Source organism: Homo sapiens, chromosome 6 (assembly GCF_000001405.40).
Source record: "Homo sapiens chromosome 6, GRCh38.p14 Primary Assembly".
Lineage (NCBI taxonomy): Eukaryota > Metazoa > Chordata > Mammalia > Primates > Hominidae > Homo > Homo sapiens.
The window spans coordinates 167842329-167870276 of record NC_000006.12 but is presented as its reverse complement, the minus strand read 5'-3'; the positions used below and the strand labels follow the sequence as shown (position 1 = coordinate 167870276).

Sequence of the window (27948 nt, the reverse complement as noted above, 5' to 3'; positions counted from 1 at the left end):
GCAGACTGAAATGTATTGTTCAAAATGTAAAATCATTTGTTTTAATTAATTCAACATTTTGTTGCTACTGTATGTTTATTACCACATATCCAGTGCCAGACACTGAACAGAGGCAATTCCCTCATTTAGATCTAACTGGGAAAATAAGAGAAATATACATGCAATAAGAAAAAAAGTATACATGGTTTTTGCTAAAAGCTTATTTCTGTAAATCAAATTATCTCATATGCAACTGGAAAATAAGGACATAATGTTAATACCACACAGAAGTTCCACTGATTCTATGAGATTGTTCTCATCACATTAATGTTATACCCCACACAAAGCGATGGCAGCAGCCCTCACCAGTCTTGGAAGTGATGACTGCACTATTCTTCCTGTCTCTGTGCATCTGATCCTTGTCTCCAAAATTTGCCCACTTCAACACTTACCTCTCCCTTCCACCATAAAGTTACCATCACTTTTCTTATGTAAAGTATTATGTTTGGTATATTACTTCTTTCATTAGCAAGCCTCCCAGGCACACTTATCAGGAACATGGTACTCCACGGAGGGTCTCCGTGAGAGCCTCACACAGCCTGACCACCTCACAGAGGCCTACGGTCGCTGGAAGCTGTGGAAAAAAGGCGGCACTGAAGGATGGACCTGCTCCTACTGGCCAAGACACCCATCCTAGGCTGGAGAACACTAAGGAAGCAGGAGCTGGCAACAGATTTGACGCTGCAAGCCCCACACACAACTCAGGCTACATTCCCCAGGAATTCTCCTTGTCGCTCGGAGAAATCCATTCACTCTGCTCAAACCTTCAACTGTTCTTTGAGCCAGTGCTACAAATTTAAACAGGTATTGAGTGACCTACCCAAATCTTTCTTTATCTTAAAGTCCCTACCTTTTAGTGTACAATTTGGCAGAATTTTAGTTTTTTTTTAGAAATGCCTCTTTCAGAAACATCTGTTACAGGAATGCTCTGTAACCTGAATATCAGTAACACAAGACCCAGCACTTTCAGAGTTGAGTAAGGAAAGTAAAATTCACCATAAAATAAAATCACTGACTCCCTATCCAAACATCACTCCCTGTCCAGCTCTGCCCACTGCCCAGCACCCCATCAGTCACATCACCTCACAGTCAGAATGCATATGACAGTGCCCTGTCACACAAACTGCAAACTGCTATACTTTGCAGAAAAGGACAAGACTGCACGATGCTGGCTGGACTCACACCTATAATACCAGCACTTTGGGAGGCCAAGGTGGATAGATCGATCGAGCTCAAGAGTTTGAGACCAGCCTGGGCAACATGGCAAGATCCGATTTCCACAGAAAAAAAAAAAAGAAGAAGAAGAAATTAGCCGGGTGTGGTGGTGTGTGCTTGCAGTCCCAGCTGCTTGGAGGGCTGAGGGGGGAGAATCACTTGAGTCCAAGAGGTTGAGGCCACAGTGAACTGTGACGGCACCACTGCACTCCACTCTGGGTGACAAAGTGAGACCCTGTCTCAAAAAAAAAAAAAAAAAAGATTGCACAATGCTGATGATAGTAAAAACTCCATCAAGCACAAACTCGGCCAATGATAAATGAGGATCAGACAGACCAATTAATAACTAAAGAGACAACTGATAAGGATGATGATAACATAGACTCCTTGCAAGAGAAAGATGTGATTTTCCAAGGACTGGAAGACGTTCTGAGAAATACTGGTTCAAGTCCTAAACTCAAAGTGCTCTTCATAATCACACCCCAACAGTCACACAGAAAGTCAAGAAAGACAACCCAAGATTAAGTCTTTGTTTTTTCAATTAGTCCATATTTGAAGCAATAAATGATAAATATGAGATACACTTTGTTTTTCTAACAAAGGTCTCCAAATGCTGTCAGCATTTACTATAAAATTTGATTCCAGATGAGGGTCTCACTATGTTGCCCAGGCTGATCTGAAACTCCTGATTTTAAGTAGCCCTCCAACCTCAGCCTCTTGAGTAGCTGTGACTATAGGTACATGCTACCACATTCAGCTTTGATCCCAGTTTTAAATGTGTTTTTCTAAGGGGCCTTTTACAGATACTATCTCTGGAAAACAGTACTTTGCTGTATTAGTAATAATATATTACAATAAAAACACTAGATGAGGCAGTACAAACGATCACTTTGGTTAGGTTATTCAACGAAAAGATGCCCAGAGACTATATGACCAGGTCAGCCCTTGAAGGAAAGGATAAGCACAGGTTGTTCCAGAAAACTGTCAGAAAGAGAGGCAGTAACAGCATGGTGACGGCACAAGGGTCTTACTACAGCCTCACGCAGGGGAAGAGAACTATTAATTTGAAAAAGCACTTTCAATGCTATGCCAAAAATTTAAATTTTAAATGAGCAATAGTTTACCACCACCCTCCCCATAAAAAATGACACCATAATGATGACAACAATGATGATATTGACAGTACTACTAATAGTGTTGACAAAGATTATCCAGGTAATTATATACAGGATATGCTACAAGGAGGCTGGTAAAAATAGGAGGCCATGAGACTAGCTAGAGAATTATCATGTAACCGGGCGCGGTGGCTCACGCCTGTAATCCCAGCACTTTGGGAGGCCGAGGCAGGTGGATCACAAGGTCAGGCGTTCAAGACCAGTCTGGCCAACACAGTGAAACCCTGTCTCTACTAAAAATACACAAAAAATTGGCCAGGTGTGGTGGCGGGCGCCTGTAATCCCAGCTACTCAGGAGGCTGAGGCAGGAGAATCGCGTGAACCCGGGAGGCGGAGGTTGCCGTGAGCCAAGATCATGCCGCTGCACTCCAGCCTGGGCGACAGAATGAGACTCTGTCTCAAAAAAAAAAAAAAAGAAAAGAAAAAAAAGAATTAGTCCGTAATAGAAACAATAGAAATGCTAGTTATCAAAATACAGAAATAAAAAATTTTGGATAATTATTTTATCAACTGAAAATATAAGAAGTTAAAACCACAGTAAAAATTAGGGATAGAACAGTAAGTCTGAATTCCTTCCATAAACCAAAATTACCAAATCGTTCTTGTTGCAAAATTTTTACTAGATGAAAATCCTTCAGAGTGCAACTTTTAGAGAACTACCATTAACAATTATGTATACATCATAAAAGTAAAGCAAGAAGAGGGCTGAGATATTCTAAAGCAAGTGTGAGTAGGCACTGAAGGTAAAGAGGGAACTGGGTCCTACTGTAATCTTTACGCATTTAAGATCTCTTCTGCCTTAGTGGTTTCATTCACGTTTTTAAAGTAGCATGATCCTTTTTTATGTTTCCTACTGAATTCACACAAAGACTTGGACTATATAAAAAGAATAGATGCAGAGCTTCCCTGGTGGCTGAAGGTTTGGGGCTGGGGCTTTAGCTCACTAGGGCTGCGGTATGCAAACGTGCTGAGGTGACCCCAGGGCACTGAGGAGCATTTAAATATTCAAGAGAAACAAGGTGCATGTGCCAGACACCAAAAGAACTGGTTCGGGTGGCTGCTGGACCACAGCAAACTGCACAGCGTCTCTTCTGTCGGCATCACATACATACAAAGCTGGGTTTTCCGTAACGCTGTAATAAACAAGCAGTACTCTCTGAAAATCAACATGGACAAGAAGTCAGGGCTCCCAGGGTCTGAGGAGCTCGGAAAGGCCCAAGAGGCACAACTGTCCCAGCAGACAGCAGCTGTGATTAAGAATAAAATGAAAGCTTCAGTTTTCCATCATTTTATGTGTACTATTTTTCAAACATCTACCTAACTGTTCACTGTTAAACACTTACTAAACCTGTCTGAATCTAACTACTTAATGAAACGGACTATTAGGTATTTCCTCTGGCCTAGCGGTGCCATTATTAAAAAATGACTGAGACGCTAAGGTTTCTGTAACCCAGAAAAGACTGAGAACCTGCATGCTAGGGCTTTCCTCATACCTGAGGCACTGGTGAAAAAAAACCAGCACTTTAAGCCCAAAGGTGTGGAAGGGTACCTGAGGGAGTGGGGAAGACACTATTTCCTTCTTCTTTAACCATCTTTTTGTTTTCACCCTTTTCTTTAAAAAATCAAATTCATCCAATTTTTAGACCTCAAACTCCAATCTTACATATTATTCAGACTTCACACTCGACAGTATTCAACTAACTGAACAGCACAGACTAAAAAGAAAAAAAAGGTGGAAGTGAGAGAGATTTTATTCTTCTTTGTAACCTATTTACAAAAATTCTAAGGTAAAGGAAAAACTCAGCTTCAGAAAAATCACCCAAAATTGAGAACACCCTCTATTGTTAAATTTAGTTTTGGCATTAATGATGAAGATGATAACCTTAAGAAAAAAAGTAAACAAACAACAACAACAAAAAATGGCCTGACTTACATACTACTGAGGGAAAAAGGATTTAGTCACACCTGAAAATCCCACATATTACAAACACTTTAGTCTATTTTCATATGTACAAAGAAAGCAGTATTTTTTGAGTAAAAAAAAAAAAAAGGTTCAAAAAAGATCTGTGGATGGAACTTAAAAGAGGTATTCAAATTAGGTTTGTGCTATACATAAATCCTTTATTTGCTGCACCAACTGTAATCTGTATTTTATTAAAACAGGTTACTCAACATTTCCAAAACACCAATGAAAAAATTTAAAAATTTCTACATTTCATTTTATTAATTTTTTTAGAGACAAAGTCTCACTGTGTCACCCAGGGTGGAGTGCAGTGGCACGATCCTAGCTCACTGAAGCCTCAAACTCCTGAGCTCAAGTGATCCTCCTGCCTCAGCCTCCCAAGTAGCTGGGACTACAGGCATGTGCCATCATGCCTAGCTAACTTTTTTTTTTTATTTTTTTGTGGAGACGGGTCTCACTATGTTGCCTCAAGCAATCTTCCCACCTCAGCCTCCCAAAGTGTCAGGATTACAGGCATAAGCCATGGCACTTACCTAAATTTCCACATTTCTTAATCAGTCTAATTTTAGTTGTCATTTGATATTGCTATATAAGATATTTTCAGAAATTTCTAATGTTAATACAAGCAGAAATTACTAAATACATAAGGAGGTTTCCTTAAGATACATACCCTAAATTATTCCCAAAGAATAATGAAAATGTATTGTTTCAGAAGGCAAAAATATTACAGCAAGATTGATGACTCATACCTATATAATATTTAACTGTGTTACAATTATTATAATCTCTACATAAGAGCCACATAAAACATTCTCAAAAAGCAGGTAGCATACTACACAATGTATGTGACACCCAGATATGTTGGATAAATGTAACGTTACTTATCTTTGGAGAAATAAGCATATGCAAAATTAATATATTCATTCTAACTTCCAACAGATATATGTGCCAGGGATTTATAAGAACACTTCCCAGACATAAAACAGTTTTCTCAGCCTGCCAGCTACTCTCCTACCCACCAAAAGAGAAGAAAGATGGAGACGAGCAGTAAACCTGACATGACCACAATGACCCTGGACAAGCTGTCTCTTCACAGGTCAGGTCATGCCTCTAGCAAACCCTTCCTGTATACACTGACCTCCGCTGACATGCACTTCATAGAGTGAATACTTGGGAGAGGACAGCATTCGCATATCAGGTCGAAATTTCTCCGCGAGCGTTTCGATTACATCTTGAGTGGTGGCAGTACTAGAGACCCGAATACATTTTGTTGCAAAGTTTCCAGCAGCTTTATCTTGAAAATAAAATCTCATCACTCCATGGAACTCCAAATCCTAAAAGAAAACAAAATGGTACATTTTTGGAAAACAACATTCTGAAAAGGATTCACTTTTTGTAATAATAAATGAGGAAGTCTGTTCACTTTTTTAAAAAATGCTTCATCATAAACATCTGAGACTAATGTAGAGAGATGGGTTTTTAGTCTTCAAGTTTCATTTCTGACTTTGAACAAGTTACTAACAATTTCTCTTTGCCTCACCTGTGTCACGTATGAAATAATGGCTGTCAAATAGATGATGTTATCAACAGCTAACATCTATTGGTCCTTGGCAAGTGGTAGGCACACCATGACACTCAATATTTATAAGAATGCAGCTCAACAGATACTATTATTTAACCCTATTTCAAGATCTAGTTGTCCAAACTCATAGAGTTGAGTTCGGTGCTCGAGCTGGTATGTGGCAGATCCAGAGTTAAGACCCAGATCCACCAGACTCCAAAGTCCGTGCCTGTACTGCCCGTGAGGTCCCTTTCCAGCTCCAAGGGTCAAAAGCCTAAATGAACAAGTTCCTTTTAAAAAGCAAGAGGGAAATGTTGGTCCCAACCATTAATGTGAATAAATGAAAACTCTTAATTTTTGAAGAATATATTATGTTGGTGCAAAATTGTGGGTTTTGCCATTATTTTCAATGGCAAAAAGCACAAGTACTTTTGCACCAACCTAATAGTTGTAACTAATTTTCTAAATGAACTACTTGCCCATAATCAATGAACGCATTTTAGATTTGTCTCAAAATCTTACCTCTAGAGAAAAAGCACATTGGTATTCCAGCCAAAGGTATCCCCTCCACAGGTATCATCTACTGCAATGTGGGCTGACACTCACAACTGTGGGATGTCCTTTCCCATTATTTCCTTGCACACAGAAAAAGCACAACTCCCAACAAAAATTCCAGAGAATATTTCTAACTCCTAGGTCACTTTTACTGTCTCAAGCAAGATTAAAGATTCAGTTGTTCAACTAAAGTCATCCTTGGTTCCACATCTGATCCATCAAAATACACCCAGAATCCAACCAAAGTCCTGTTCAAACTAAGTCACAACACATCATTCCTTGGCTTTACATTTTGCAATGGCTTTCATGTTCTCAAAAGTCAAACCATTTGGTCCTCAAAGCCCATCACACTGAATGAAGCCTTTCTTTAATTTTCCCCAATCCACTAGCCTCTTTTTGACTAATAAGTATGAACTAAGAAGTACTTATTTGAAGAAAAATAGGAGAAATGGGATACAGGTTGAGAATACTTTATTCAAAATGCTTGGAACCAGAACTATTTTGAATTTTGAGTATTTGCAGATTTTGGAATATTTGCATGATACACTTCAGCATGTCTGATCTGAGAATCTGAAATCTGAAATGCTGCAATATGCATTTCTCCTTTGAGTGTCATGTTGGCGCTCAAAACATTTCAGATTTTGGAGCATGTCATATTTCAGGTTTTCAAGTTAGAGACACTTAACCTGTATTAGAACAGGGTTAACAACCATACAAACTTATGAAAATCAAAACAAAAAAGTGAGACAGTAAGGCACATTTCTAGCCCTGAAACTTTATAGTGCTTGCTCAGGGTGTCTTGTTACCCACTATACCAAGAGAAAATACAAAATAAATGAGCATGTATGTTCAGAAACAACACTTACCCATAGATTCTGGAGTAAAGGAGGGCCATAGTTTTGGGTGCGAGACCTGAGAAAGCTTAAAGAGTTGGCAAAATGGGAGCTACATGAGTAGGAGTCCTGCTGTCTCTCAGAAATTCTATCAACAACCTCTTAGTCTGGTCTGGGTCAAGTAACAAACAAAGCAAACCTGACATCCTTTTAAACATGTCCATCTCTATGTTAGTCTGGCAACCCTAAAACCTTTATAACTGCCGGGCACGGTGGCCCATGCCTGTAATCCCAGCACTTCGGGAGGCCGAGGTGGGCGGATCACCTGAGATCAGGAGTTCGAGACCAGCCTGACCAAGATGGTGGAACCCTGTCTCTACAAAAATACAAAAATTAGCTGGGCGTGGTGGCAGGCACCTGTAATCTCAGCTACTCAGGAGGCTGAGGCAGGAGAACTGCTTGAACCCAGGAGGTGGAGGTTGCAGTCAGCCAAGATCGCGCCACTGCACTCCAGCCTGGGCGACAGAGCAAGACTTCATCTAAAAAAAAAAAAACCAAACCTTTATAACTAAAAATGCATGCGAAACATGCTCCTACACTATAAACCTGTGAGTCTTAGGTAATATTAATGACAGGCCACGCTCACCGCCTATGTGCCAGGTACTGTGCTGACCACGTCCTACGCACTGTCTCCCCAGCTTTCCTTCACCTTCGTTCTCCCCACATCTGCTGGCTGTACCTCTTGGAATCATTCAAGCATCTGCCGCTACCCCCTTCCACGGACTCCTAAAATGGCACTTTAGAAAACAAAAATTTCTATACAAATTTAGCTGTATAAATTTAAGATTTTATCATGGGAGCTGTATTTTTATTCCAGGATTCCAATACTTTCACACTACCACCCTGAAACCATCTTTATACTAAACCTAATAGTCTCTAAAATATTCATTGGCAAAACTACCCCCAGGCTTCTCCAAAGGCTCACCCTTATACAAGAAGTTAAAGCAAAAAAGCAATTAATCTCCATAGTACTCAATCATTTTGCTAACAAAATAGTTTTACATTAGTTGTGATCAGAATAAAACAGGCCAGATGTACCAAAGGATGACAAGAAATACAAAAGCACCAGTTTCCCTGAGAATTGCCAACAAATAATTCCAAATTACCAGATATTAAAGAACCAAAAGAAAAACAGAAGCATCATCTGTGGCTGGCAAGGGTGAGAGGGAATGCCCATTAACATCAGCAACACAAAGGAAAGAATCCAGAATGAGCTGATAAAGACAAACAGGGAAAAGAGGAGAATCCACTTAAAGTCACCTTCATGAAAATTCCTTACATATAAATTACTGCCCTTCACTGTAAAAAAGGAAACTGCAAACATAAAATCTTTATTACCAATGTGGCCCAGCTACTTACCTTACATAAAATGTTAAGAGATCAAAGAGAGAAAAAAAAGAAACCCAAGGGAGTAAGGAGATACTGGTGTCCTCATCAGGCAGTAGCATTCCTGTGTATAGAAAAGTAAGAGTATTCCTGGAAACAATGTTCCAGGTTCTACCAAGCCTAAATAAAGCCTATGAAAACTATGTTTTAGTATATTTCATTTGCACTACATGTTAATAAATATTAATTTAGTTTGACATCACACAAGAATGTATTAATACCTGTTCCCAGAATATTCCCTTAATAAACAGATTAACATTCTGCTCAATTATTTTGCCAATCATGTTTGGCTGTTGTGAATAATTCCACAGAATCTTATCAAAACTAGTCAAATGGATAAAATCAAGTTCCTAAACCTGAAAACTGGGTATGAAGGGAGGGGAGAGGAGGGGTGCAGAGGGTTGGGGAGAGGAGGGGAGGTCCAAAGAAGTACACTGACCACCAACACCTAGCTTGCCCAGCAGCAGGGCTGAGGTACAGCCAGCATTAACTGGCCCCAGACCTGCCTACATCACCATGCTCTGCTGGGAGTTTGACACTAATTATTTTTCTCTGATCTTACAACAGGTACAAGAAAAGTTCCAGAAGAAACAAATGAATGAATGGTTAAATGAGAGAAAGAAATTGTTGGTGACTTGAGACCATCACCTACCTAGACAGGCCTGGCATTCAAATACAAGTATTCTTCCTGCTCACGAGGGACTCCGAGGCAGCTCACGCCCCACACAGTGCCTAATCAACCTCATCCACCACGTCTAGACATCTGTCTGTCCTACAGTGCAGCAGAAACATCTGGGGGGCTGCAACAGGACATGAACAGGTTCACATTTCAACATGACAGCCACATCCTTGAGTGAGTTATTTAAAGTCTATGTGAACTCAAATCTCCACTTTATAAAATGAAAACAAGCTTGTTTTGAGGATTAAACAAAATATATAAAGCAACTCATGCTACCTCACACACAGGTAAGTGCTCAACAATGAGAAGTTTTCTTCTTTACAGTCTCTCCCACTAGAATATAGCTTTTCTGGGACAAGGAAACCTCTTTTATTCCCTATTCTAGGTCCTCCCTCAGGATCCAATACAATGCTCTGCATATAACAATAAAAACAAATATGAGTCAAGATGCCCAATAACAAGACCTAATTCTGCCAGCTGTGGTTGTCTGTTCTCAATTGATAAGAATGCTGGAAAGCAAAACTTAAATTTATAATAAACAGCCATAAAGTCTCAAGGGCAGAATTAATAGTCTAATATGTTGCAGCCAACCTAGTTATAATCTTACAAAGACAAAGGTTTCTAAAAAAAAAAAAAAAAAAAAAAAAAAAAGCATTGCTGTAGGTACTTAATACCTAAATGAAGAGCTTACTTGGAAGCAGCACGTTTTCAGAAAGAAGTTTCTATTTAGAATAGGTAAGATAATAACTGCCTATGATCACTTCATCAGTACAGTCAGCGTACAATGCTCATCTCAGTATGTCTCAATAATTTAATTCAAAGGGAAGGAAACCTTTCCTTAATGGTTATTTCTCCTGCCAGGAAAACAACTTTGTTTGGTAAACATTTACCTTGATACACACTTTTCCCTGAGAAATATTATCACCAATGATTACTGAAACAGAAAAACTGCTTTAGGTCAACTCCAAAACAAAATTCTTTTCATGCTTATCAAAAGAATACAATGATCCAAAACTAAAAAAAAAAAAACAACAATAACAAAACCAAGCTACATTGTGAAATTATTAGAGTCAATATAAGAAATAAAGAATTAAAGGTGGAGATTTTCTTTTAAATATCAGTATTTCATTAATAAAACTAACAATCAACTGGCTGTATTCTCCAAGCCAGCAGAAATTCACCAGGACAACCCTAAACCTCCTTTTGATAAAGCTAATCAGAATCATTCTTTCTAAAACTTAAATAGGTCAACCATGCACAATTTACTTTTCTTCTATGGTTAGCACTTAGACGAAACCCATGTCCTAGCCAGTAGCAAAACAACGCTAACTTCAAACAGATCACCAATTCCTACTCCCCATGGAGGAAACTGACGGACTGTCCACTTTGTTACACATGCACACAACCAATTTATTTCTTATGCTGGTGTCTACAAAATATGTGCAAAGGTTAAAAAAAATACAGCTGTGCCTTCAACACACACCAGTTGCTAGTACACAAAACAACCTGGCGGCAATAGCCATTTGACCTACTTAACATTAAGGTGTTAACAGCTTTAGGTAGAGGACAGAAGAAATATTTGAATATGGGCTTTTGAAATCTTTTCTATGAACACTATTTTTAAATCCTAATACTTCAAGAACACTATTTGAAATGAAATGTATTTCATTACCTAAAATTTTTACAAGACAAATAATATACCTGGAAGCATTTGAAAAAGAAAAAAAAAAAAAAAAAAACAAGAACGGCCATAAAATTTCTTCACCAGGCTAACATTCTTTCCACTGTATTCATTCCCAAGAAACCGTCTTCCTAGCCCTTTCCTCCCACTCCTCATTCCTATAAAGCTCCTAGAAACCCAGTTTTCTATTAGCACTAATTCCATTACCTTAGAATTTTCTGACCTTCCCGACCACAAAATAATTTTCTCTAAAAATTCAATCAATTTGCTTTGTCTTTAACCTTGGTTTCCTCATTTATAAAATGAGCACAGTAAAGTATGGACTTACACACAGGGCACTATTATTCTGTTGCCGGCAATGTAAACTGGCAAACAAGCAACTGAGAGCAACTTAGCAAACACAATCCAATTCTAGAAAAAGAATTTACACCTTCATGTGTACATGTGGTCTTTAAAATCAAATGACTTCGTTAAATTTTTGTCTGAAAATAAAGGCATAAGCTTAACACACAGCAATGCACAACTGTGTAATGTGAACCAACCACTGTACTAGAAGTACATCTTAATGCTTATTCACCAAATCTGAGAAAGACCAAGTTCACTGAAAGTGGGAAAAGGTCATCTTCCAAGCAAAGAACAAAATATTTCTGGACTTAAGAAAACTAACAAAACAGAGAGAAAGCACACGATTGCACAGATCTCCCTTTTTATGAACTCTAACAAAAATCCATCCAGTACCCAAACACCTAAATGTTATAAATAAAACAAAATTCTCTGCCAGAAAACACAGCCTGCTGTGAAAACCAACAAGCCAACATACTTTTTAAATTGCCCCAGTTATAACTGCCAACATTATCTACTTAACAATCATCTGCTCACAGCAGCTACACATTTGTAAGCCATAACCCTGCCAACTTTCAAAGCAAGTGAAATCAGTGCTCTGCTGCTGGACTTCACTGGAATTAGAAATCTACCCAAACTCTTAGTCAGCATTATGGAAAGGGGATCAAAAAGTGAAAGTTTTCCCCACAGTACTCTTAAAAATGTTTAACTCTTTTTAAATAACTACCCACACAGACATACACTGGAAATTTGAAAGATAATCAATTAAAAACATTTTAAACCCTCATGACAAAAAAGCAATTATCACATCTGTGATTAAAGATTATGTTTATAACTCAATCATAATCTTTAAATACTATATTCGTACACATGTACATAACACAGAACCCTAAAGCCAACTATCTAGTCTAGGGGTATAACTGATTTTGCCATGCACTGTTTGGACATCTAGTGAAGGCTATGAGTTGGTTCTCAAAGGACTACATTAAAACATAACTAAAATATCTGTAAAACCTAGAATGTAGTAATATAAGTGCTTCTTTATTAACATATTACATAAGATCTACAGTTGGTTCAGGTTCATACAGCTCGGATTTTGAAGTAATCAGTATAATAAACTCATGAGTGAAGAAAATGCTACATTATCATTAATAAGGATGTATTTATTGGAAATACAAATGTAATCCCCCTCTCATCCAAGTTCAAAGGCCCCATGAATGATACTCATAGACTTCAACTTAAGAACCCCCTGAAAAAAATCTAGTGACAGGGAACTATCTAGCCAGTAAAATTAAAATTCCCAAGTCATTTTCATGTTAGTTTACCAAGTAACATTTCTCCTGCTTGGCAAAAATCTGTTAAACAGTCTTTGAGTACAACTAATCAACTGGTTTCTACTTCATCTAATTATTTTAGATCCAGCCCTTAAACACAATAACGTGGTGAAAAACATTATTGAAGTCCTTGATATAGTCCAGATACATTATGACTAAGGCACTTCCCTGAACTACAAACCTGGTAACCCTCTCTCTCACTCTCTAATATCAACTATCCCCACCCCCATCCTATCTCTCGCTCTCTCTTTCACAGGAAATGACAACACTGTATTTAGTAAGCCATACTGGTTCCTACGAATGGAATTACACAGCTTTTAAGCCTCAAGATACTTTCCTCTTCCATCTTACCGTAATCATAGCAAACATTTCCATGAACAGTTCAGTTTTTTACAGTGTGAGTATAAATAACGAGGTTAACATTGCTTTTAAACTTTTTACTGTGTAGTAAACATCTTTCTTACAAAGTGATGCTTCAAAAATTATCCATTAAGATATATAAATATATGCCATCATATGTGACAACAAAACTATACAATTTTATAAATATGTACAAAAGCTCAAAAATAGTCCTTTTTATGCACCCAATTTCCCTCAAACATAAAACAGGCTTAATAAATATATTTGTCATATATATATGACACTAAAACACTCCTTTTTCACAAATTGAAAGTTTCTGTTTTAGCCTTGTCTGGTATTCAGCCTCAGATACCTCTTGTATAAAAATGGAGATAACAGTACCAACTTCTCCATGTTACGGTGGAGAATTAAATGAGACAGTATGCACAAAAGCACCTAGCACAGTGCAGTAGGAACTACATATTTCATCAGTATGTTACTTTCTTCAAATACATGGCTATCCAGTGACCTATAGTTCTTTCTATAAAAGAGTGAATTACCCAATTTCTAGCCAAATACTATAGTAAATTAGAGTAGGCCAAGACTTAACTACCAATTTAATAGTACCTAAGAGTATGTGCACATAAAGAATTATACTTCACTTTTCTAGTTCAAAGCCTTCCAACCATAATGTGTATAGTAGTTCCCCCTTATCTGTAGGGAACATGTTCCAAGACCCCCCACCCCACTGGACGTCTGCTATGGCAACTAGCACAAAGCTCTATATATACTACAGGTTTTTTTCTCCTATACATACAAAGCTATAATAAAGTTTATAAATTAAGCACAGTAAGAGATTAACAATAATAAACTAGAACAGTTATAACAATATGTCAGCATCACCCCTCTTGCATTTTGTGGCCCTTAAGTAAAATAAGCGCTACTTGAACACAAGTTCTGTGGCAGCGCAGCAGTCTATCTGATAAATGAGGCAGCTATATGTGACTAACAGGCATATACAGCATGGAGATGACAGACAAAGGGATGATTCACATCCCGGGTGGAACATAGCTGGACAGCCAGAGGTTTCATCACTATTTAAACTGTCATGCAATTCGAAACATATTAGTTGTTTATTTTTGGATTTTCCATTTCGTATGTTCTGACCACAGTTGATCCTGGCTAACTGTAACCTCAGAAAGTGAACCAGTGGATAGGTGGGACTACTGTACTATGACTTATCATTTCTCAGAAAAGTAATGATGCATCACAAGTGAACACAATTTGCTTAAAGCAGAATTTTACCCTAAAAGTGTTGTATTATCCACTACAATCCTGAGGTTTAAATAATACAGGCCCTTGTCTAAACATTCAGGTCACTATTTGGTGTAGCTAAGTGACCACTGGAGTCTAAAATTCCTGATGTTATTCCAGCTCCGAGAAAAATCAACCACAGTTGTTAAAGCTATAAGCTATCTTCCTACTGTCTAGAATAAACCAGGCTGTTCTAGTACTCTCAAAGTCAATGAATGCTAGCTAAGGGGGGAATCCTCATTTTAAATTAAATAAGAAAGGTGACTGGACCTGACCAAACTGCAAGAATAAGTTCAATTCACAAAGACTTAACTTTTGGTCAGTAATGCAGAGTGGATTCTGAACTCACCTACTTTTTTCACTAAGTAATGTGGCCAGGCTTACTACTTCGTTTTGTAAGATTAAACTTATCTTCTGATATATAATTTTTAAAAATATTTTAAGAAAGAAGACATTTGCCAAGGTACTCCTGGAGGCAGGAGACAACTTGGCTCATTTCAACAAGTAGTTCAACCGTCCAATTAACTAGATCAGTATTGTCAAGCACACGAAAAACAATTTATCACAACTGTATTCATTTTAATAGTTTTAAAAAAGATTAATTTATGAATTCCATGTCACTTCAAATACTTAAGTAAACTAGAATACCTTGAAAACTGTGTCAACTAAACTCAATTTCAACAAAAAATTATAGTTATCAAGGACATGAAGACAAATTTGAAGTCAAATTACACTGAATATCATCATTGAACAGTTTGTTTTTCAAAACAGAATTTCTCTTGTAATATTAACAAAACCTTTTGCTTATTTTCTTCTGAAAAAAATCAAGTTACACACTTAATTTATAAATTTAAGAAAACAGTAACTAAAAATACAATGGTTTTGTTGGTTTTTCTTTTTTTCCTGGAACTAAACAAGCTAATTTAAAAGATTTTATTTCCTATGAGGAAAATAAGCAAGAAATCCAGAGCAATCCAGGAAAAGAAGAATTATAAATATGAAGGGTCAGCCTACTAGATGTTTAAAAAAACTATAAAAATCTCTATTTAAAACACCACCTTGACATAAATGAAAGAAAAAGTCTAGACTTTTAGGTGGGTCTCAAATCAGTGTGGAAAAGACGAAGTTCTTCATAAATGTGTTGGGACAGACAGACGGCAAAGAGAAAACTGGATCTATACATCACACTGTACATTAAGATAAATTTCAAATGGTCAAGGGATACAAAAAAGAAACAACACAAGTACAAGAAAAAATGGATAAACTCCATGAAAACTTAGAAATAAGAAAAGCTTCCTAACCATGACTTGAAATCCAAAGTCAATTAAAGAAATGTTAATAAGTTTGACAATGTAAAACTTTGATATCACAAAAAATTCAAAAAGCACACAATAGGTAAAGTACCAAGACAAGTAACACACTGGGGGAAAAAAATTTCCAACTTGTTTCACAGAAAGAAATATAATTTCTTTAACAGATAAAGAGTTTCTAAAATTTGTGAAGAACGAACCAATAACCCAATAGAAAAATGGGCACCCAAAAAAACCTTCAGGCAGCATACAAAGTAGTGAATCGGCCCTTAAATACACAAAAAGATGAACAACCTCACCCACAATAAAACAACTTTAAAATAGACAATACTAATAGTAAAATGCCATTTTTCAACACCCAAATTGGCAAAAATCTGAAGGTTTGAAACCAGTCTTTTTGTGGGGCTGAAGGGGAAAAAAAAGTATATACCCAAGGTGCAGAATTTGGCAACATTTGGTAAAATTAGATACTCATGTACATTTTGAAACAGCAATTCTCTTGTGGATCTATACCAAAGATACACTAAAAAAAATACATATGAAATGCGAAAGGCTATTCACTGTGGCAATGTTTATAAAAGCAAATGTTTGAAAATGATCCAGCAGTAGGGAACTGGTTGAAAAAATTCTCGTATATTCACTGAGTGGAATAAAACGGTGCCATTAAGAGTTAGGGCAAAACTCTTTATACTGTGATATGGCATGATGCATAAGATACACAGTTAAGTGAAAAAAGCACAACGCACAACAGCATGTGTCATAAGCATCTATTATATGAAAAGACAGGACACAAACACACAACCTGTATTTGGTTACATCTTCAAAGAGATGCCTTCCATGCATGAACAAACCAAAACATAATCAAGATGGAAGCAAAGCTTTTCTAAATGTACTTTATCACACAGTTTCAGCTCTGGAACCATGTAACTATTTAACAAAAAAAGACAATCGCTGGAAACATAAAACAAACTGAAATGAATGAGTCTTAACTCTCTATCAAGTTGGTCATATTAGCATACAGAAAAAAGATTTTTTTCTGAGTGATTTTGGACAACAGCTTTTGACTTTAAATTGCCAGCAGACTAGTCTACTGACAAGTCAGTATCTGCAAATAATTTTGCAGAATTTTTTAAATGCCCATTCAGATATCCTGTTGTTAGTAATAATACTGGCAATATGTTGTAATAATAACTATATGATACAATAAAGCCAACAGGTAGTTGTGTTTATACAGTGACAAGGTTTTCAATGTAAGAGAAAAGAGATATAAAATTAAATAAATTAAGTAAAAGCCATACAAGGCCATTCTGAATTGGAAACATCAGTAGAAATATACAGATTTTTCTCCCCACAAAATATAAATACCTCCTAGTTTTTCCCACTGAAAAGGCCCAGAAGCAAACAACAATCTGTAAAAATGAACATCTCTAGCACTTAGACTGTAGTCTCTTAAATACCACTAAAAGAAACCACAGCTACTTGGAGAAATGGCTTAATCCAGGTCTAGGTCAGAAAATGTACAAGATGAGTTTGGGACATCTTGTTATGCTGGAAAACAAGGAAGTTCTCAAAGACTAACTCATATCAAAAGAACCCTCTAGCCAACCAAAAACTGCAGCTGGACAAATTTGGGACAATCTGAATACCAGCAGAAATGACCTCAAGTTACTGAAACATGGAATACATAAAAATCCACCAGCTCATTATACCAAAGAAAAATGAGAACACCAACAAAACAAAATCAATGTTAGCACTGAAGGTAACTAGAGCAACCAACTCCTTACTCTGGAAAATAAGCAATACAGGAGCTCAGAATTTATGTCTACATATCTTTTAAAGAATTCCAGCCAATAAATGTAAAGAGAAATAATGGAATTAGAAAAACGCCATTTTGTAGCCATTAACTGATTTAGACAAAGATCTCCGAATGAAACAGTGATAAGGAACTTGACAGTACAGGGGCTGTCACCACTTGACCTTCTAATGGGATTCAATATGAAATACACAGCACTGCTTATAAAGCCTTGTCCAACAATTGGACCTGAATCCATTCAAGCCTTTAAAGCTAGAGAAACATGTCAAACCACTACCACCCTGTAAAAGATACAGGTAAGTCTAGAACAGAGATGTTCTACAGAAAAAGTAGCCCAATATTTTCAAAGTGTATGGCATGAAATAAACGCTCTAGATTAAAAGAGATGTAGGAGAAGTAAATATAATGTGTGGCCCTTGTTTGGATTCCAATTCAAATAAATTAACTGCAAAACCACATTCTTGAGAGATATAGGGAATCTCAGTATGGACCGAATAACAGATAATAACAAAGAATTCTGGCTAATTTTGTTAATGAGATTATTGCATGATGGTTGAATTTTTGTTAGATGCACACTGAAGTAGGGAAGAAATAACATGACGGGTTTTAGGATCTGCTTTAAAAAACAGTGCACCTAAAAACAACAAAATTAAGAACGACAAACTGAAAATTGTGAAGTCTAGGGAATGAGTTTCATTTGTGTTTGAAAATTTTCACGCTAAAAAATGTGTAATATGAAAATAATTCAGTTATAATTACCAACTATTAAGTGCAAAATAAAGTAAACCTGTTTTTTTTAAAAATGCGCTACAAAAACTCAAGAACTTTGGTTCTGAAAATGGATAATGAATTATTTAACATCAGAAGCCAAACATAGCTTGCTTACACTCAACAAGCAACAGGTGTGTCATACAAAAAGCAAGTGAGGCAGAGCCTTGGAAACAGCCAGACATTGGGTAAAATCCCACTTAATTTTACTTTCACTTAATACCCACATGAATCTGTGCCAAACACTTGAGTTCTCTCAAGTTCCCTGTCTATAAAGTGGAGGGGCTACTATTTCACAGGGTTTGGTGGTTACTAACTGATTCACACTATATAAAGGAACCTGCCACATATGAGGCACTTGATAAATATTACTTCCTGTCTACAAATTCTCAACTGCCTACACTTACACAAGAACTAGTTGAAAAGGTGGGTGTGCATAGAGGCGAACAACACATTGGGACCCACTGGAGGGTGGAGGGTGGAAGAAGAAATAAGATCAGAAAAAAATATCTAATGGATACTAGGCTTAATACCTGGTTGATAAAATAATCAGTACAACAAACTCCTATGATATACATTTACCTAGGTAACAAACCTGCATACCCTGCAGATGTCCCCTGACCCTAAAAGTTAAAAAAAGAAAGGTGTGTGTTTGTGTTTATGTGTATGTGTATAAAAAACCTATCTCTAGCAAAACTAAATACAAAAGCAAAAAATAACAGAGTATATATTAAAGATCTGTATATATGACGTGAAAAATGAAAACCATCAAACTTTGTAGAAAAAATAGAATGGCACTATACATATTTCAAATTCTATTGTTGAAATTAGCTGGGCATGGTGGTGGGTGCCTGTAACCCCAGCAGGAGGTTGAGGCAGGAGAATCGCTTGAATGCAGGAGGCAGGAGAATCGCCTGAATGCAGGAGGCAGAAGAATCGCTTGCAGGAGGCAGAGGTTGCAATGAGCCGAGATCGGCTCCAGCTATGGGCAACAGAGCAAGACTTTGTCACACACACACACACACACAATAAAAAATTATATTGTTGAAATACAATTTCTGAGAGTTGAAATCATTTCCAGTGATATAACTGATCTACCCAAATCAACCTATACACAAAATTATAAAATGTTTTGGTGTCTACAGAAAATAACCATGTTCTTAAATTCAGCCTCAAAATTATAATACTGAAAGAAAACCCAAGAAAATGTTTTATAATCTTCATCTTGAATCTGCAACTAAGATTCTTCTTTAAGTATGTGAAATAATAAGAAGGTTCTAAATTTGAACGATGAAGATAATGTACCATACAAATTATATACATGAACATTGGTAGATCAGCATTTACTTGGATTTACAGTGAGTTTCACATTAAAGTAAACACTCAAACTATAGCAAATGATTCAAAGAAACTTCCTATAATCAAAGTGCTTCCATCTATCTTTTTATAGTACACTAAAAATTGAATTCACAGCACTCAACCTACTCCAATTAAGAAAAAAAAACTTAAAGCAACTTACCTAAACCTAAAATATCTTCAAAGTACTGCATTAGGAAACAAACACAAGCACATTTTAAAACACAGGCAGTTTTTTCAAGCCTCCACTATCTTAAGACCTTTCACATTTCACACAAAACACATCCATGAGCGAGAGGGGGGTTGGGACAGAGGTGAAAAGAACAAATGAGAAAGAAAATAATTTTGAGGTAGAGTAACATGACTATTACTGCCTTATAACTGGAATTTTACAAACTAAAACAATGTGTTGTTCTGGTTCAAGTATTTGACATTCTCTCCCTGGTATCATGAGTGATCTTGAACTGCATATTTGGTGCCAACCGGTACCTCCTGCCTACCCTTCCAGTTTCACTCTTTGCATTACCAAATGACTACAGCAGATTGGAATGTCACTTAGTACCAGGCATGAGAAAAACAAAAAGGTAAGCTGTGTAAATCAGCACACGGACTTCTGAAAGGAGGTCAAGCTGTTTAGGAGGATTCTTATCAGTAGTAACTTACAAAAGGAACCTAGAACCTCGACAGGAAAAGTGACACTAATGAAACCAGCTCACTGTTCAATTAAGTTTTCTTAATTAATTCTCTTTGCAAAACAGAATCATGGTGAAAAGAACCAATCAGTGAAGTAGATTCTCATTTAATTTTATGGAAACACTCTGTTCACTAGAATAATACTCTTAACTCCTGTTTTTGAGAATCTTCTATACTGTTAAATAAATATCCTAGGCTAACACATACACATATAGATTTCTAAAAAGTACATTCTGAAACAAATTCTTTAGGTAAGTAATGGAATACACAATAGGCATGAACTCAAAGACAGGGATACAGAATATGATAAGAATATGGTAAGATGTGTAAAGTTCCATGAAACAAAAACCTCAAAATCACTGATTGGGTTTTTATAACATTACACTGTTCAAAAAAATCTCATATAAGGATACTTTTGAAGAAGGTACTATCATTTCTAGCTATAATTGAACACAAAATAAGAAACGGCAACAAACAAGAATGCAGAGTCAACCTAGAACATACAATACTAAACCTAAACATGTTGCTGGAAATCTCTCCCCCCCCACAAGTTACATTACATGATACAAAGATAAACATATAAAATCAAGGGAAAGAAAAAACCCACAAATACTAATGATGACAATGCACTACAAATAACAACAGTATAAATGCCTGCCTTATGCTAAACATTGTGCTAATAAGTACTTTTTATGCGTTATCTACTCCAATTTTCACAACAACCCCATAAGGTAGGTATTATTACTGTTCCTGTCTTACAGATGAAGAAACGGGGCCTAAGGAAGATCAAGTAAGTGGACCATGTTCACAGAGCTAATACCAGTGGGCCAGAATTCATACTCTGGCAATTTTGAAACAAGTCACTTTCAACCACTATGCGGCACTGCGTCTCATCCTGCTGTATAAAAATAAGGGTGGAAAACACCCAGTTCCAGCAGTATGGCAGACTAAACAATCAGTAATCATTGTACTATACAATAATACAAAATGAACATTCTGTTTAATACACAGCTGAGTCTGTAAAAAAGAGAAATCCAATTAAAGGGAAGTAAAGGCTAGATGAACATATGAAAACATGCTCACCGACGGAAATCAGGGTAACAAATTGAAATTATTATTTCAAATACTTTAGAGCATATCAACAAATCTGAATATATTGAGGAGGGTGAAGACTGAAGTTTGGAATATAAATTGGTAGAACCATTTCCAAGATCAATTTTGCAGGACCTAAAAAATCTGAATCTAAATATTCCACTTCTAGGTATTCATCCTAAAAATTTTACATCAGTACAGAAGAAAACATGGACAAGACTGTTCATTAAATCCACATTTGTAACTGTGGAAAAGTATATACAATTTATTAATCTCTGGATAGGGACAGAGATAGAATACGGACAACAGAATAATGCAAAGCTGTTAAATAAACTATATCTACTCATATGAAGTTTCACGTCAGTAGTTTTCTTGGGGGAGGCAGAAAGGGAGAAAGAAAACCCTTTCGCTATGTCTGTAACTCTTAATTCCTTAAACTTTCTGGACACTATTTAACTAAAAGAAATGTAAATAATAGTAATATATCCTTTGCTGATGTGGGAATCAAATGAAATAAGAGACTGGTTGTAATGCCTGAATCACTGCTAGGCATGGAACATGTTGTCAAAGAAATGTGACCATGATAGTTACGAATAAACTCAAGCCAAGGTATTCAAAAAGCTTGCCATTTAGGGAGGAGCTCCTGTTTCACCAAAGTGCTACCCCCACAGTTTCACATAGGGTAAATCAACAAAGACTTCTAGGATACTTGAGCAAAGCCTAATTGTAGGGAAAGAACATTCTAAGCCCAGGGAACAAGTACTAAGATCCCAGGCAGAATCCTGGTTGGCATAACTGACAAATAGCAAGCAGGCCCCTTGTGGCTATAGCAGAATGAGAAAGTGAAAAAACGGTATTAGGAATAAGGTTTGTAGGTCAAGGTACACTGAGTGATTAAAAAAAAATTGGGGAGTCTGAATAGAAACATTACATTATTTAACTTAAGGTTTAGAAGTGTATGTCTGTGTAGGAAACAGACTGTAAGGGGGCAAAGGCAGACAAGGGAAATAAATTAAGACTAAGTAAGAGGTTACTGGAACAACCCAGGTGGGAGATATGAAGTTAGCCTGGATTAATTCAGTAGTAAGAAGCAAAGATGGTGAAAAGTGGTTAAATTATAAAAATATTTTGAAAGTAGAGCTGACAGAATCTGCTGCTAAGATTAGATATGATCATGGTCTGAGAGGAAGAAAGGAATCCAGAAGAATGCCAGGCTGTGGACATTAGCAATTGGTAAAGTGAGCTGCTGTTCACTAAGACTTAGGAGAGGGCTGAAGAAGAAGCAGATGAGAGTGCGGTGCCGATGAGAGTGCAGTGGTGGGAAATCAGAGTTTAGTTTTGGACAGGCTCACTTTGAGATGCCTAGAGTGCACCTAAATAGAGATATGAGGGACTGGCTATATGGGGCTGAAGTTCAGAACAAGGGCCAAACTTAGAGATGTAAATTTGGAATATATTAGCACTTAAAACCACAAAAATGAAATATTTCACCTAGGGAATAAGTGGAGAAAAGAGTGTGTATTGGGATCAGACCCTGAGGTCTGGGCAACAGGCCAGTCCTGAAGACCAAGTGAAGGAAGAATTTGATGGAAGATGTGATCAACTGCTGCTGCATCAGAAGATAAACGACTGGATGTGTCAGCATGAAAGTCTTTAATGACTTTGAGGAGAGTGGTTTTCGTGAAGTTAAAAGCTGCTCCCACTTACGGTAAAAAAGCAAATGAAAAGCGTTCTAAAATTTAACTTTCAGCTTTAAAATTAAACAAACTGACAGAGTATAGACATACCTCACTATTTTTTTATTGTACAGATGACAGGTTTGCATCAATCAAATAACTAAACTGGCAAAACAATAATACAATTATTGAATGTCTTAACGCAGATTCAGTTGACGAATTATATTAAACAATATTTGATTTCTACTAACTCAGAGTTTTAATTATGACTTTTCTAATAGATTAACTCCCCTGAAAATGCCATTTCCTAGACATCCTATACTCCTCCCCCAAATCTCATAGAAGATTCTCTAAGATACATTGAAAAAAAAAAAAAAAACAACTTGGTTTTTTTTTTAAATATTATACTTTTTTCAATCTTCAATTATTTTCTTTACTGTGATGTTTGTGGAAATAAACTGAAAAAAAAAGCCATTTCATAAATATACATCACAACAAATAAAAAGTTAATGAGAAGTTTTAAGTAATCAGACAACCTTAACTATTTACAACTATCAGTAAGGCTAATTTCTACAAAGCTCATGGCTTATTTTTGAACTTTTAAAAGTTCACGCACTGGTTTTCGGGGAGTTTTGTTTATGTTCATTTATCCCCAAAACAGAAAAAAACACCCCTATAGTTCATTTTGAGAATCTTCTCAAAGTCACTGAAGTAAAATTATTTTAGTATTTTTGTAGTCATATGAAAAATTAGGAACTTAAAACATCTAAACTAGTCAACATTTAAAGATCTCATTAACAAACCTACATCCAAGGCTTCTTTCGATACCACGCAGTCCAGTCACAGAGAGTTTAATAAATTTGAACCTCATTTAAGGAAAAAAAAGACCGCCCAAGCTCTGATAAACTGCTACCTACTAGATGTAAAAGGAATGGGGTCCAAGCTATCCGCTGTAACTCAAGTGATATGGTTTGGCTGTGTGCCCCCACCCAAATCTCATCTCGAATCATAATCCCCTTATGTCAAGGGAGGGAAGTGATTGGATCATGGAGGCAGTTTCCCCCATGCTGTTCTTGTGACTGAGTGGAGATCTGATGGTTTTATAAGCATCTGGCATTTCCCCTGCTTGCACTCACTTCTCTCCTGCCACCTTGTGAAGAAGGTGCTTGCTTCTCCTTTGTCTTCCGTCATGATTGTTAAGTTTCCTGAGGTCTCCCCAGCCATGTGGAACTGATTCAACTAAACTTCTTTCCTTTATAAATTACCCAGTCTTGGGTAGTTCTTTATACCAGTGTAAAAACAGACTAATACACTAAGATATTTTGGGTTTTAAAAAATAAGTGCTCACTCAGTCTTTTTAGTTAAATTTCAAGTCCCCTAAAAATAAGAAAACAAAGTATTAAGAAATATTCATTTAGGCCAGGCGTGGTGGCTCACGCCTGTAATCCCAGCACTTTGGGAAGCCGAGGCAGACGGATCACCTGAGGTCAGGAGTTGGAAAGCAGTCTGACCAACATGGCGAAACCCTGTCTCTACTAAAAATACCATCTGCCTGTAATCCCAGCTACTAGGGAGACTGAGGCAGGAGAATCGCTTGAACCTGGGAGGTGGAGGTGCCAGTGAGCCAAGATCGCGCCATTGCACTCCAACCTGGGAAACAAGAGTAAAACTCTGTCTAAAAAAAGCAAGAAAAGAAAAGAAAAAGAAAAGAAAAGAAATATTCATTTAATAGCAAAAATACCATAAAATCAGAAGACCAAAATGACTGAGTAGGAAAAACTATTTATAAACACAGTAAAACATCAAAATGTTTATTTAAAAAGGATTTTCCATAAAAATTGACGAGAATAAAACAAATTTCTTGACAGAAAAACAGGCACTTCACATAGAAAGAAAATAAAGATGGCAAGAAACATTCATGAAAGATGCCCTGCTAAGTGCAGTGGCTCGTGTCTGTAATCTCAGCATTTTGGGAGGCCAAGGCAGGCAGACCATTTGAGCCCAAGAGTTCAAGACCAGTGTGGGCAACATAGTGAGACCACATCTTTATACAAATTTCTTAAAAATTAGCTGGGCATGGTGGCACATGCCTGTAGCCCCAGCTACTCAGGAGGCTGAGACGTGAGAATCATTTGAGCCTGGGAGGTCGAGGCTACAGTGAGCTATGATCGCGCCACTGCACTCCAGCCTGAGTGACAGAGTGAGACCCTGTCTCAAAAACCAAAAAAAAAAAAAAAAAAAAAGAAAAGAAAAGGATGCTCATTCTCAACAATGAATAAGGAATTACAAATTTTAAAACCAATGACACATTACTTTTTACCTGTCAGACTGAAAAGTTTAATTCATAATATGCAGTGTTAGGTAAAGGGTCATAGTCACAACAGTGGCAGCATAAACTGGAGGGCCCCCTACCTTTTGAATAATAACTTGGTAGTCTATCAATATTTTCAACAAGTACAGCCTTTGACTCAAATTGCACTCATAGGAATCTATTTTATGGAAATACCCAAGTATAGAAAGATATGTGTATAAAAATGTTCATAGCAGCATTACTGAAACAGTGTACTGTGGAAACAGTCAAAGTGTTCATTAATAGTTAAGAAAATGATTACTACATGGATTATACAGCTACTAAAAAGATAATTATATTTATACATACTTTTGTTTTATAGAAATATGGGAGAATTTCTTTAATAAAGCATGTTGCAGAAAAGTGTATATCCTACGATCCAATTTTTGTAAAACAAAATTCAAATACAGCTGTGCTACAATGGTGCATTCCTGTAATCCCAGCTATTTGGGAGGCAGGAGGATTGCTTGAGCCCAGGATTTAAGAGACCAGCCTGAGCAACACAGCAAGATCTCATCTCAAAACACACACACACACACACACACACACACACACACACACACACTTCATTTTTGAGTCTACAAGAGCAAAACTGGGAAAGACACACTGTAAAAATTCCTTACAGTGGCTATGTCTGGATAGCTAGAATTCAGAGGAGAAAGGGAGACCTTCAAATTTACCCTACAGACTCAATTCAAAAAACACGAACTAAATTTTATCCACATAAATCTTAATAAATACAAGCTCTCCATATCTCTTGCTATAAAACTTAAGTTTCCCTTTGAGTAAAACAGGTCAGTTACTGCCCACCTGAAAAAGCTTACATTAGTCTTCAACAGCCTAACTATCCCAAGGTGTTTCTCCTTTAGTCAGATATTGAAATGTTAACACAAAAGGTTCTAATTATATGAGCAGATTATAGTACCAGGTGAAAAGCAGCAGCATATTCTCAGAATAAATCTATTATTTCTTACAATGTACTACCAAATCATGAATATCTGCAATGAGCTACTTATATTTAATAAATTTTTGCTGTAAGTTATCCTATTTCTAAAGAAATCTACACAAGCCCAGCAAGGGGCCAGACTTTCAAAGCTTTAAATAAAAGTCTTCAAATTTACTGTGCTGAGTTTGTGTATGACAGTTATGTCCTTACCGATCAACTTTCATTAATTTCTTAATGCATGCATTCTTCAATTATCCACTGTGCACATTGTGTCCTCCTCTGGAAGACCACACAGCCTGGTCTCTGTCCTCAAAGAGCTCAAGTTTAGTGCAATACCCTTTTAAGTGCATTAACAATGTACTAATGCCCATTCATCAATCTTAGCAATAAAATAGCTCTCTTATACTTAGTGCTTAATTCAGTGAGGAATACTGTCACATCCTTGACTTTTAGTAGATTTCCCTACAGCAACTTTTTCTTCTCATATTGTAGGGAGAAGAGGTCAGGAATTGCTAAAGGGGCATTTTAGCAGTCTGGAGTCCTCCAGGTGATGAAATATTGGGGACATTAATGTAACATTTGAGTATAGAATGGACTAGAAGCAAAGAGACCAATCAAGTTTACGATGTGGAGGTAATATTTGCACATAGGCTAATCTAAGAGAGAATACTGGAGCAATAAGTCAAATCCCAACTTTGTCAGCTACCCAAGTGCACTTGATTCCTACTGAAACTCCAGGATTCAATTTATTTTCCTCCCCTATCCTATGCCACTACTCATTAACTACTGTATTTCCTCAATTCCTCTCTTCCAAGACTGGCCACCAAAATCAAACATAGTTTTAGTTTTTTTTTGTAGACCTTTATTTACAGATAGTAGCAAATGACTAAAAGCTCATGTGTTTTTATAAAACTTTACTGGAGATGCTAAAGACAACCACCAAGGCAGAGGACTTGAAAAACAGCAAAAGCCAGCATTTCCTGAGCAATATTCTCAATTGACTGCCAATCTAAAATTGAAAATCAATACTGGATTTTAGTATAGGTAAATCATCACCTAGATTACTTCACCTAGAAATATGCAGTCCAGATTCTGTGATGAAAGCAATATGTCAACATAGTGAGATGAAACCAAGTATGTGAAATAATACATCCTAGTGGAGGAGAGGAAGGAAGACAGCCCAGTAAATAGCAGCTACCACGAAATCAGGCTCTCCATCAACCCATCTTGCAGAGTATATACTGTGACCCAGGAATGCCAGCCAAATTTTTAAATATCTAAATAAGCATACACAGTTTGAAGTCAATAAATGCTAAGTATATTATGTCAGCTAGAGTCATTATCAATGTGCCTCCTTGACCTCAGGATTGTGGCCCCATAGTTAATTATGGGGCATTTTTTAATTGAGAGAATGAGTAGAAGAACATCAAGAATCCAGCATTACAATACACACTGTCCTGAGACATGA

General features: G+C 36.8%; 1 protein-coding gene across 53 annotated transcripts in view, besides 2 other annotated features; it reads right to left on the bottom strand.

Annotated features, from left to right (window-relative positions):
• Positions 1 to 27948, bottom strand: part of AFDN (afadin, adherens junction formation factor) — a 145460-nt gene that overhangs the window by 101747 nt on the left and 15765 nt on the right. For all 53 annotated transcript variants that reach the window (XM_047418788.1, XM_047418789.1, XM_017010878.2 and 50 more), the window contains exon 2: positions 5531 to 5726. In XM_047418788.1, the coding sequence (XP_047274744.1) occupies positions 5531 to 5726 (196 nt within the window). The remainder of the gene's footprint in view (positions 1 to 5530; positions 5727 to 27948) is intronic.
• Positions 4954 to 6153: an enhancer, noted in NCBI's record as "BRD4-independent group 4 enhancer chr6:168264804-168266003 (GRCh37/hg19 assembly coordinates)". NCBI's record gives its function as "activates an origin of replication core promoter dependent on BRD2, P300/CBP, MED14 and CDK7 cofactors, and independent of BRD4, by STARR-seq in HCT116 cells {active_cell/tissue: HCT116}" and the evidence as "EXISTENCE:reporter gene assay evidence [ECO:0000049][PMID:35650434]".
• Positions 12914 to 13208: an enhancer, noted in NCBI's record as "tiled region #4710; HepG2 Activating non-DNase unmatched - State 6:EnhF". NCBI's record gives its function as "activates a minimal TATA promoter and a strong SV40 promoter by Sharpr-MPRA in HepG2 cells {active_cell/tissue: HepG2}" and the evidence as "EXISTENCE:reporter gene assay evidence [ECO:0000049][PMID:27701403]".